This window comes from Homo sapiens, chromosome 3 (assembly GCF_000001405.40).
Source record: "Homo sapiens chromosome 3, GRCh38.p14 Primary Assembly".
In the NCBI taxonomy this organism is placed as follows: domain Eukaryota; kingdom Metazoa; phylum Chordata; class Mammalia; order Primates; family Hominidae; genus Homo; species Homo sapiens.
Window position 1 is genome coordinate 63,822,617 of NC_000003.12, and position 12,707 is coordinate 63,835,323.

The following is a 12,707-nucleotide window of genomic DNA, read 5'->3' on the forward strand; positions in this document are numbered from 1 at the left end:
GCTATCAGGAAATGTTGTCTATTGTTTAGTCTATTGTGTATAATAAAATATGCCAAAATTATGAAGATGGTACACGTAGTCACTATATATGAGTTTACAGTATGTTATCTAAATGAGTGTTTTATGTAAATGCAGTATTTATGGGGCCTTGGAGGTTACTCCTTATTGACTACCCTAGCAGACTCTCTCATCTTTTATTACTTTCACTTTGAAACTGCCAAATCTAGCAAAAACTATGTCAAACTATCATTGAAATAAGATTGCCAATTTGCCAATATAAGTTAATGGATTCCAACAGTCAGACCTGGATTAAAGTCTGCATTCAGCCCTTGGTCAATTAATTTAAACCATGTCTCAGTTTACTCATAAGTAAAATGAAGACAATAATATAACCTACCTCTAACAGTACTGTGTTTAAATTAAATAGCAGCCAGATTACTATAATTTGGTAACAAAACACCAAGTAGTTGCTTTGGCTTTATTTTTCTGTGATTTGATTCTTGGTCTTCAATTTCATTTTTTTTTTCTGAATTGTATAATTGGTTCACATTTGAAGTTTGTGTTTTAATGATTTAAATTTTTCACTTTTAACTTTTCAGTTTCCCTAATATGAACCATTTTTATTTTGTTTAGATGGCATAGAGCTGTGTCTACCAACTTACTAAAACAAAATGTATTGGTCCCTAAAGAGGAATCATCCAGTGATAGTGACATGGGATTTCATGAAAGCCAGCAAAATCAGAAAAGTAATTTGAAGACGAAAGTGAAGACTGCTTTTGGGAGGATGCTGTCCTACAAGTATAGAAGCAAGCCAGCATGTGCCAGCCAAGAGGGCTCCACTGACCATAAAGAAGCCCTCCTGTCAAACACGCAGAGCCTTCTCCCTAGGATTGTCAAGGAGTTTTCATCTCCCAAGTTATTTACAGCAAAAATGAGAAAGCTCTCAGAGAATGGTAATCATATTTGGGCAATTTGTCTTTGGGTTGAGGCCAAGAGGAAGAGTGAAATTAGGATGGATTATCTTGCTACACCAGTATGGCATCCCTGAGGAGCTTGTCTGAAATGCAGAATCTCAGGCCCTACCTGGGACCTTCTGAGTGAGAAGCCACACTTTAGCAAGATCCTCAGTTGGCTTGTATGTTCATACCGTTGTGTGTGTGTGTGTGTGTGTGTGTGTGTGTGTGTGTGTGTGTGTGTGTGTTTAGATGGAATCTCGCTCTATCACCCAGGCTGTAGTGCAGAGGCATGATCTCGGCTCACTGCAACCTCTGCCTTCCGGGTTCAAGCAATTTTCCTCCCTCAGCCACCTGAGTAGCTCGAACTACAGGAGCGTGCCACCACACCCAGCTAAATTTTGTATTTTTACTAGAGATGGGGTTTTACCATATTGGCCAGGCTGGTCTTGAACTCCTGACTTCAGGTGATCCGTTCGCCTCGGCCTCCCAAAGTGCTGGGATTACAGGTGTGAGCCTTGCTCATACCTTTTGAGAAGCACTGAATTGGATTGCCTTGGAGGTTCCTTCCAGTTCAATTAAACAGTGTTCTAATCAGTTTAAAGTCACTTTTTATTTAAATATATATGTGTGTATATATTCATATATACATATATATATTTATTGGAAAATCAAACTCAAGGGGGATTTTTGGTTTTGTTTCTGGAAAAAGTAGTGATGCAGACTTTCACATGGCTACTTCTAACAGTGGAGGGGGTAGTGAGACTTAAATGAATAAAATGTATAACTGGTAAGTCATAAAGAATGCTCACTTTTATTGCATTTACTTTCTATGTACTGTGTGAAAGAATTAATATTTGAACTGTTAACTTTAAGTCGTTTTTGCAACTAGTATTAATGCCATGTGGCATCCTATGAGTCATGACTAACAATACTACCAATGTTTGCATTCTCATCTGTGGCTTTTAAAAAAATAAATGGAGTCTAGGCCGGGAGCAGTGGCTCACGTATGTAATCCCAGCTCTTTGGAAGGCCAAAGCGGTTGGATCACTTGAGCCCAGGAGTTTGAGACAAGCCTGGGCAATATGGTGAAACCATCTCTACAAAAAATACAAAAAAGATTAGTCAGGCATGGTGGCATGTGCCCGTAGTCCCTACTAGGGAAGCTGAAGTGGGCGAATCGCTTGAATCTGGGAGTCGGAGATTGCAGTGAGCCAAGATTATGCCACTGCACTCCAGCCTGGGCGACAGAAAGAGACCCTGTCTCAAAAAAAAAAAAAAAAAAGAAAAAGAAAAAGTCTATTTTTATAGCACTTTTATATTTACAGAAAAATTGAACAGAAAATGTAGAGTTCCCATATATGCCCTCCCTTCCCTGATCCCCACAGCTCCTGTTATTAACATCTTGCTTTAGAGTGGTACATTTACAATCGATGAACCAATATTGATATATTACTATTATTAACTGAAGTTATAGTTTACATTAGGGTTCCCCCTTTATATTGTGCAGTTCTGTGGGATTTGACAAATACCTACTTTTATGTCATACTCTGTCATAACATACATCCACCATACATCCACCATAATTTCACTGCTCTATATATCCTCTGTAGCTTTTTAATGTCCTTCACAGCACAGAATCAGGAAACACACAGCCCTTCTAGTATATGTAAATATACATACAACCTCACATTTTACACACCATGATCAGGCAACAAAACTGATGTGTGCTTTTTCCAGGAAAAAAAAAACAAAAAAAAACCCTGATGGTTTCCAGCCGACTACTTTCAAACAAACTCTGTGTTCTGGAAAAAGCAGTCATTAATACAAGCATCCAAGCATCTAGCAATTACCTGGTATGGATTGAGCTGTATATTTCTGTTGAAAATAGCAAAGAGGACATGATTCTATATTGCTGGGGCTGGAATTGAAGAATCCAGCAGAAAACAGAGGATCAAATTTCTACTCCTAATCTGTGCACTGGTTTATTTTTATCTTAGTTGGAATAACAAATATCAACTAAGATTTCTCCAGAAAACATGCTCATCCTTTAGGATGTAGCTCAAACATTAATACCCTTTGTTGTGGCCCCAAATCAGTTGCTCTTCCCTGCTGACCTTCAAAACATGTTTTTATCTATTTAACAAATATCTGCTAAGTACTTATTATATGACAGCCACAATATTTGGGATAGAGTAGCACATAGAACAGACATAGTCCCTCCCTCATGGAGAGGCTTTCAAACATGCAGAAAATTACATTTGTTCCAAAGGAGCACAGGATGCTATTGAAAGAAATCATAGGTGCTCTAACTTTAGGGGAGGGGTCTCAGGAAAGGCTTCCCCAAGGAAGGGACAACTAAATTGAGATCTGAAGGATGTCTAAGACATAAAGATGGCTTACACAAGGTGGAGGGGGGAGAACAGTTTCCCAGGAATAAGGGAGAGCATGTTCAAGTCACAATATCAAGAGATCACCAGGCACAATTAGGAAATGAAAGAAATCCAGTGGAGGTTGGAACACAGAGAGCTAAGGGGAGGCTGGTTGAATTAGGTAGTAAGGGTGTCTGTCATAGGACACATTGAGAATTTTTAACTTTCTTCTAAGGGTGATAAGAAACCACTGGATACTTTCAAGCTGGGGATTTATATAATCTGATTTGCATTCTTAAAAGATAGCTTTGGTTATCTTTTAGTGTAGACTGGATTGGATGAGGGTAAGCGCAAATGCAGGAAGAACAATAAGCACCCATACATTCTTTCAGGCAAGGAATGACATTAGCTTGGATTAGTCAGGGCAGTGGGAATGGGGAGATAAAGGGAGAAATAAGCATAGGTAGAAGTTACAAGAGTTGGGGAAGAGTTGGACAGTGAAGGGTTGGGGAGAGGGAAAAATTTCTGGATTGAGCACTGGCTTTGAAGGTGGAGGCATCATTCACTAATATAAGGAGCAATGGACCTGGATTGAAAAATAAGTCATGAGTTCTGGCTAGACTTGCTGACATAAGGTCCCTGCCAAATAGCCAAGTGGAAGTGTCAAGTAGGCTAATGTATTCATTGAGGTCTGAGGCTCCCAGAGAAGTCCTTATCAATGGACTTTAAGCAACAAGATGATTTTAGGTGTGCACACTGCATGAAGAACAGTGTAACACACAGCAAATTGCAAACACCCTTTCCCCAATGCTGTCATCCTTTTGAATACATCAAGGAAAATGTCTCATTTAGTGACCCCCTTTTTTAAGAAAAAGAGAGTACCTGTAGTCCCAGCTGCTCGGGAGGCTGAGGCAGGAGAATGGCCTGAACCCGGGAGGTGGAGCTTGCAGTGAGCCTAGATCATGCCACTGCACTCCAGCCTGTGCGACAGAGCGAGACTCCATCTCAGAAAAAAAAAAAGAAAAAGAGAGTAACCTCAGGTTTAGTGCCTTCTGCAAAAAATAACATAGTTTTGTTTTTAGCATAGTAATTTTAATGCCTGTTTACCATACTAGTCTTAAATTTATGGTAGTGTTTTAAAGTTTCCTTTATAAATACATTTATGGAGTTAAGCACTGAATTGATATGTTTTAAAATGTTAAGGAATCCAAAGTTCACCTGGCTCCTGGATATAGGAAAGACAAATCAATGGTATGTAAATGACTGAGCCTTGAGCCACATTTCTCGAAAATAGATAGAAAATTTGCTTTAATCCACAATGAATACCCAAGGGAGGGCCTTGCATGTTAGAGGGTTACTTTTCTAATTCCACAATGGTTCAGGGGAAAAACTTAAATCTCGAAGAGAGAGAGAGGTGGCTACCTTGTCAAAGACTGGGTTGGTGTCCACTGAGGTCATGACCATAACAAAAGGCAAATGCGTGCAGGAGAAAGTGTAAGATTGGGAAGAGCAAATCAATTTTTTATTCTTAACTCTAAAGAAAAAAAAAGCCACTGAAGCAGCAAGTGATGCTGTCTTCTAAGAATACTGTATTTTTAACAGGAAGAATGTGTTCCTCATTGTGATCCTTACAGATTCCTTTTTCCCCCTTTCTTGAAGCGACTATACAACTTGATGTTGTAGAGGCAGAGACAGAGGAGATAACCCAGGGAAACACACTCCTTCGGGCCAGGAGAACCACCAAGCGGTTATCTGTGACATCTCTTCCTTCAGGACTGCAAAAGGTAAAACGCTAAATGAATTTGCCTCTGAAGACTTACACATAACTCAATGTCTAGAGATTTTGCAAAAACCAAGTTCTGTCCTACCATGAGTCCTCCACAATAAGCCCTTTAAATCTGCTGCTTCTGTCTCCTCTCCAAGAATTTAGGGTACTCTCTGGGTCAGATTCTTCTACTTCTAAGCTCAAACTGTTCAGCTTCTACTACATCTGGGCAACAGTGGATGGAGTTTGGATTTTTATAACTGACTTTCTCACTCTTCAAATGTTAGTATATTAGCATTCTGGCCTATCTGTGCATACTATGTGGAGTGGAACTCATTAGACCAGCACTGTCCAGTGGAACTTTCTGTGAAGATGTAAGTATGCATTGTCCAATATAGTAGCCGTTAGCCACATTTGGCTTTGAGACTTTGAAATCTGGTCAGTGCAACTGAGGAACTGAATTTTTAATCTTAATTTTCATTGAAACTAAAATGTAAATAGCCATATGTACAACACAGACAGTGCAGCGTAGATTATCTAGGACTCTCCAAACCAATGCTTTTACTTATCCATAGGTATGCATGGGTTTTGTTTGTGTGTTTGTTTGTTTTGAGACAGAGTCTCACTCTGTCGCCCAGGCTGGAGTGCAGTGGCACAATTTCAGCTCACTGCAACCTCCGTCTCCTGGGTTTAAGTGATTCTCTTACCTCAGCCTCCCATCTAGCTGGGACTACAGGCGTGCACAACCATGCTTGGTTAATTTTTGTATTTTTAGTAGAGACAGCGTTTCGCCATGTTGGTCAGGCTGGTCTCGAACTCCTGGCCTCAAGTAATCCACCTGCCTTGGTCTCCCAAAGTGCTGGAATTACAGATGTAAGCCACCGTTACTGGCCATGTATGTATGTTTGATCCTAAATTGCCCAGACTATTTTTCAAAAATAGAACCATGAACTATTATTATTATTATTTTAGATACAAGACTTACCTTAAAGCTATGTTCCAAACTCTAAGTGCTTTAAAAATATCAACTCAGATAATCCTTACAATAGCCCTATAACGTAGGTAGCAATATTATTCTTATTTTAGGGATGGTACTGAGAGTTTAAGTAATTTGCCCACGTAAGTGACAGAGCCAAGTTTCAAACCCAGGAACACCTGGCTCTAGAGTCCTTAGTAGTAATTGCCATGCTACAGACTAACTGTACTGTCCAATATGCTAGTCAATAGCTACATGTCACCACCTATGTTAATTAAAATTAAATAAAATTAGAAGTGCAGTTCCCCAGTTGCACTAGCTACGTTTCAAATGGCCAACAATCGCACCTAGTTAGTGGCTGTCCTATACAGCACAGATAGAGAACATTTCCATCTTCACAGAAAGTTCCACTGAACAGTGCTGCTCTTGAACACCACTGTCAGAGTGCACTGATACTAGTTTTGAAGTTTTGCCTTTTGTGTGCTAGGTTCGTATTCATTTTGCCCCTATTATGTTTTAGGCAGTCTGTAGGTTTGGGGGGTATAGGGTGATCTAATGGACATGGTCTTGCTTCTGTGGAACTTACAGTCAAATAGAGGAGATAGACATTAAACCATAGCACCATACAGCAGTGGGGTAAGGATAATCTTTTGAACAAATGTTGCTAGAACAATTGGGCATTCATACAGAAAAAAAATGAAAATTGACCCCTATCTCACACCATATACAAAGATTAATTTCTGTTCAGTTATAGATTTAAGTGGAAAAGGCAAAAATCTTAAAACTCCTGGAGGACAATAAGAATATCTTCATGACTTCAGGATAGAGAAACACTTCTTAGGACACACATAACAATAATCATAAAGATAAAGATGGAGCAATTTGGCTATGATTAAGAATTTCTGTCCATCAAATGGTGTTAGATCAGAGGTTGTCAACTAGCTATAAAAATGTTTTGTTTAGCCCTCAGAATGTTCTCAAAAATATATTTGAATTGGCTGGGTGTGGTGGCTCATGTCTGTAATCCTGGCACTTTGGGAGGCTGGTAAGGGAGGATCTCTTGAGCTCAGGAGGTTGATACCAGCCTGGGCAACATGGCAAAACCCCATCTCTACAAAAAAAAAATGTAAAAATTAGCTGGGCATGGTGGTACACACTTTTAGTCCCAAATCCTCAGAAGGCTGAGGTGGGAGGATCACCGGAGCCCACAGAGGTCAAGGCTTTAGTGAGCCATGATCATGCCACTGCTCTCCAGCCTGGACAACAGAGTGAGACCTCATCTTAAAATATATATATGTATTTGAATTAATTGTCTACGTTTAGAAATTAGGATATTTCTAATACAATTCTGGGTTTTCTACTTTCTCTTGAAAAATAAAAAGATTTGAAAATACTAGGCCAATTCCTCATGGCAACAAACAGGAGCTGCGCCAGGGTACTGCAGAAGGTGTGGTCTCTTCAGTCCATACCAGCCCCAACTAGTCCTGCTTTACAAAACTTGCCTAGGCACTAGATTTTACCATAGTTGTATTCAATAAACACAGACATAATGTAGTGACTGCCAAGTATGCTAGTATGCTAGTTGCTTAACAGGAAAAAGTACTGGGTTTTATGAAAGAGAAAAAAGAGGGGTCTTACTTTAGATAGATCAGGGAAGATTCTGCAAGTGACATTTGAGCTGGGCAAGCTGGCAGGGTAGCAGTGGTTCAGCAGACTCCATTTGTAAAGGCAAAAGGTAGGACCCAGATGTGGTCCCATATCCTACTTTGTGTAGGTCTCACAATAGTCCTAATGCTAATTATTAAGCACAAGGGGAAGGAAGAGTAAACTCAGTAAGACTAAAAAGGGCATATTAGCTGGGAGCCATGACCTGGGAATGATTTCCAATTGCAACACTGTTAGGACAGGTACTTGTAACCAGTAAGCCAGGGACAATGGGAAAAGTATCAGGCATGGGGTGAAAAGAACCCAGAGCTTTCTTTTTATGTTTGAAGACGTGACTGCCGTGAAAATAAGGAAACCTGCAGAAACGAGACCAAATTAACAACTAGATCCACGATAATGAGCTTTCTGGGGCACTGGTCCACAACGGCCCCACACTCTTACTGTGCTCAGCAGCTGCAGAGGCAATTTCTTCTTCTTCCCCTTACGAATGACCTGCTTTTTTCCTGATGCTGTATATTCTTTCAGAGCCAGACAATCTCATTTCTCTGTACCCTATAGATCTCTTCAAAGAGAGCTCTGGGCACAAAGAAGATACTTGGGGTGTGGAGAATAATATGAATACAGTCTGCAATCCAATATTGTTATGTGGCAAATGTTCAGTTTATAAGATAATGTCCTAAGGGTGAGAACTCTTGTTTAAGCACCATCACATAAATAATGTTGGTAGTTCCTAATCTGATGTGTTTTGCATTTTTACCATAGGGGCCATATTCACCAAAAAAGAGACCACACTTTCCAGCACTTAAAAAAAAGAAGCGTGGCATGGAAAACATCCTTCGAAAATCAGATTTGACAGTAGGAAAGCTTCAAATGCAGGTAGTGGACAAAGGCTTTTAACTTTTGAGTCTCAGAAGCATCAGAGAGCCAGGCTTAAGTAAACGCACAGCCCTGCTAGACAGCATGGGTGTGGGATGAAATTAATGATTAGCATTAAGAAATAATGTTAGCAGGGGGGCATTCTGAAAGTGGCTAAAGGATTGCCAAGGACACCTAGGATGATGCTGTGTACCTGATAAATGTTAAATGAATTCAGTTAAAATGAAGGCATATACATAGGTTTCTTTTCAGAAGAACTGAGATTGTCTTTATCACTGGGTGGTAAATGTATGCTTTCAAGCTCCATTTGCTATGACTTGAATTAGAATAATATTTTAAGACTTGCAAAATGTCCGCCAGTTCCAGAACTCTTCTCTCAGGAAAAGCAACTATCCCTTTGATTTTGACAAGGCTTTCCAACACATGGCTTCATTTCTTTGTATTTATCTGTCATAGGTGGATGACCTCATAGAAACAGTGACTGATAAATCCATGAAGCTACTGGCCCAAAGACATGCTGAGCTTCAACAGTGTGAGTTTCTGGGGGATGAAATTCTTCAGTCTTCTAAACAGTTCCAGAGGATATCCAAGAGAACCATGAGGAAGTATAAATTAAAAAATGTGTGTTTCCCATGTACCTGCTGCTGCTTCTGACTTTGTTCCTGATTCTTTAAAAGTTATCTTCCCTAGGCTGGCCGTGGTGGCTCACGCCTGTAATCTCAGCACTTTGGGAGGCCGAGCGAGTGGATCACTTGATGTCTGGAGTTCAAAACCAGCCTGGCCAACATGGTGAAACCCTGTCTCTACTAAAAATACAAAAATTATCCAGGAGTGGTGGCGGGCGCCTCTAATCCCAGCTACTCGGGAGGCTGAGGCAGGAGAATTGCTTGAACCTGGGAGGCAGAGGCTGCAGTGAGCCGAGATCGCACCACTGCACTCCAGCCTGGGCGACAGCACAAGACTCCATCTCGAAAATAAAAAAATAAATAAAAGTTGTCTTCCAAGAGATTCTTATCTTTTGGTACTTAATCCTGAATAAATCTCTCTAGTGAATTAATCAATGGGGGTGGGGATACGGAGGCAGCATTTTAAAAAAAATTCTACCCAATAGTCCTTTAAAAAATAAATATCTTTTTTGAAAAACTGGTATTTGTCTGGGGCACAGTGGCTCACATCTATACTCCCAGCACTTTGGGAGGCTAACGTGGGTGGATCACGTGAACCCAGGAGTTTGAGACCAGCTTGGGCAATATAGTGAGAATCTGTCACTACGAAAAATTTTTAAAAATTAGCTGAGTATGGCGATGTGTTGCCTGTAGTCCCAGCTACTCGGGAGGCTGACATAGAAGAATTGCTTAAGCCTGGGAGGTCAAGGCTACAGTGAGCTGTGATCAAGCCACTGCACTCCAGCCTGGATGACAGGGCAAGACCCTGTCTCAGAAAAGAAAAAAAAAGAAAAATGGATTTTTAATTCTGAGTCAATATAGGCAAATTTTTGTTTCATAATTCTTACTAATAATGGAAAATAAAAACGATTGTCACAGCATAGCAATTCTGCAAAGAAATTTCTCCCATGACTTGCCAGATGAAATTAGAGGAAGCATTTATATGTATTATGACACTTTTAATATGACTACAACTGAGCTAATTTTAAACTTTCATTTTTAAAGATAAAAATTATTATTAAAATTACAAAAATGTAACATCATTAAGGTATGATTCATGCAAAGTGTCATGTTTCTGAACTAAAATAAATGGATAAGGATGGAGCTGAACAAGTATTACACATATAATGAAATACTTAAGAAAATTACAAGTGATTCCGCCTTAGCTTAATTTTTAAAAAGATTATAAATTCTTTATGCAAGACAATCTTTTTTTTTTTTTTTTTAGACAGAGTTTCACTCTTGTTGCCCAGGCTGGAGTGCAATGGTGCAATCTTGGCTCACCACAACCTTCGCCTCCTGGGTTCAAGTGATTCTCCTGCCTCAGCCTCCTGAGTAGCTGGGATTATAGGCATGTGCCACCACACCTGGCTAATTTTGTATTTTTTTTAGTAGAGATGGGGTTTCTCCATGTTGGTCAGGCTGGTCTCGAACTCCTGACCTCAGGTGATCTGCCCGCCTCGGCCTTCCAAAGTGCTGGGATTAAAGGTGTGAGCCACCATGCCTGGCCTACGCAAAACAATCTTAACAAACTATTTACTTCAAACACTCTTCACTTTATCAATACATCTTTTTCTATTGAAAATGATTCCTAAAGAACAAAACAGTAGAGAAAACAGATCAACAAAACATTTGAGAACCATATTCCTCTCATATTAAGGAGAGATATATAAAGTAATGTGCACTATTTTACTTTGCATCTTATAATTAACGTCCCATACCAGCGAATTTTAACAGCCTGGAACCTCTCTCCACAATAAGCATACACCACTAACATTTTGCATGTAATTTCACAGGTTCATGGTCCTCCTAAAGCCTCTTCATAGACTCCGTTTTCAGAAGTGTAACCATTTCCAGAAATTGGCTCATTTTCCCATGTACATCCTAGAAATGCCAACTTCTAACAATTTTCAACTTATTTTGTAAGCCAATCAATGTTACCAGTTAAAAACTACCTAGAATATTAATGAGCACAAACATATGCAGCTTAAAAGCATTTTATTAAGCATTTTTGGATGTTGCTTCCTACCACTTAAGAATAAAAAATGCATTTTAATAAAAACAAATCTATACTGAAGTCATTTTCCTTTGTGAGAGGAAATATGAATGAAATACATTCATACTTAAAAACAGAGTATTTTACTGCCAAAACTTTAAATATCTCAAGAGCATACCACATTTTAAACACATTATGGTCATGTAGCTATTTCAATATTCCTGGGAGTGGTGGGCAATTAGCCTGTCTATGGCTTAGGATCTGTTTCCATGCTTGCTTCCTGAGCTTCTTCTACCTCTGAGAGTTTTTCATCATCTGTAATTGAGAAGGAAACATAAAACCTTAGTCAAGTTTGCCTATATTTTATATTCGATGAACACATGAAAACATGTTTATCCTTTATTAGCCAATACAATTAAAGCTAAGATGGCTACTAGTTGAATCAAACTTTAAAATTTATGTGATAGACTTCACTTAAAAAAAAAAAAATCCAGGCAGGGTCTGGTGGCTCATGCCTATAATCCCAGCACTTTGGGAGGCCAAGGCAGGTGGATCACCTGAGGTCAGGAATTCAAGACCAGCCTGGCCTACATGGTAAAACCCCGTCTCTACTAAAAATACTAAAATTAGCTGGGTGTGGTGGCATGCACCTGTAATTCCAGCTACTAGGGAGGCTGAGGCAGGAGAATCACTTGAGCCTGCAAGGTGAGGATTGCAGTGAGCCAAGATTGTGCCACTGCACTCCAGCCTGGGTGACAGAGCAAGACTGTCTTAAAAAAAAAAAAAAGAAAAGAAAAAATGGGTCTTAGGCTATTCTTTAAAACAATCAGAAGATCAGGTAACACAAAAATTTCCACTTGCCTATAGTGAATATAAAGAGCAAGTCTCCAGTTCCCCAAAGCACCCACTACTCAGTGGGTATGCAAATGTTCGTATGTACTGATTTCTTATTATTGCCTGCCTGGGTCCTGAGTTGTTATATTATAGTAGTCAACTACAGTGAACCAAGAAAGATTCCAAATCTATCATCCTTGAATTTTTCTTAATTTAAACCACTATGTATATGTTTAAATCCTATATTACTACAAATTAAGACTTTTCTACATGTATTCAAGAAAGTTGAACATGAGTACCTTCTAACGTCATCCAGCTACACTGTTCAGAAATTGAAGGTATACTGTCTCTCCAAGATGTATATTTCAAAAGGTACATCCCTGGGTCATTTAAAAAATCTTCATAAGCATTTACTTTGAGACTATTTCTACTTACTTTCCAATGTTTGCTGAAGTTCATGGATGGTACTAAGAAGAACATGAAACTGTTTCCGTCTCAATTCCAGCTGTGTTAACAAGAAAAAAATTTATACAAATGACCTGTATATATAGATATATAGACAGACAGATAGACAGATCATGAAGGCTAAATATATATGCGAATAC

At 39.3% G+C, this 12,707-nt stretch overlaps 2 protein-coding genes across 7 annotated transcripts in view; one reads left to right on the forward strand and one right to left on the reverse strand.

Moving 5' to 3' along the window:
* The window catches only part of C3orf49 (chromosome 3 open reading frame 49), a 68,930-nt gene that overhangs the window by 42,910 nt on the left and 13,313 nt on the right, over positions 1 to 12,707 (forward strand). For 2 of the 3 annotated variants that reach the window (XM_047447470.1, XM_024453353.2), the window contains 4 exons: positions 634 to 953; positions 4,985 to 5,109; positions 8,494 to 8,607; positions 9,064 to 9,642. In XM_047447470.1, coding sequence (XP_047303426.1) covers positions 713 to 953; positions 4,985 to 5,109; positions 8,494 to 8,607; positions 9,064 to 9,261 — 678 coding nt within the window. In that variant the 5' untranslated portion in view covers positions 634 to 712 and the 3' untranslated portion in view covers positions 9,262 to 9,642. Of the gene's footprint in view, positions 1 to 633; positions 954 to 4,984; positions 5,110 to 8,493; positions 8,608 to 9,063; positions 9,643 to 12,707 lie in introns of those variants that run through there. The other variant, NM_001355236.2, reaches the window with a different exon arrangement.
* THOC7 (THO complex subunit 7) overlaps positions 11,254 to 12,707 on the reverse strand; it is a 30,615-nt gene continuing 29,161 nt past the window's right edge. For all 4 annotated transcript variants that reach the window (XM_006713339.4, NM_001285387.3, NM_025075.4 and 1 more), the window contains 2 exons: positions 12,538 to 12,607; positions 11,254 to 11,583 (listed from right to left, as the gene is read on the reverse strand). In XM_006713339.4, the coding sequence (XP_006713402.1) occupies positions 11,516 to 11,583; positions 12,538 to 12,607 (138 nt within the window). In that variant the 3' untranslated portion in view covers positions 11,254 to 11,515. The remainder of the gene's footprint in view (positions 11,584 to 12,537; positions 12,608 to 12,707) is intronic.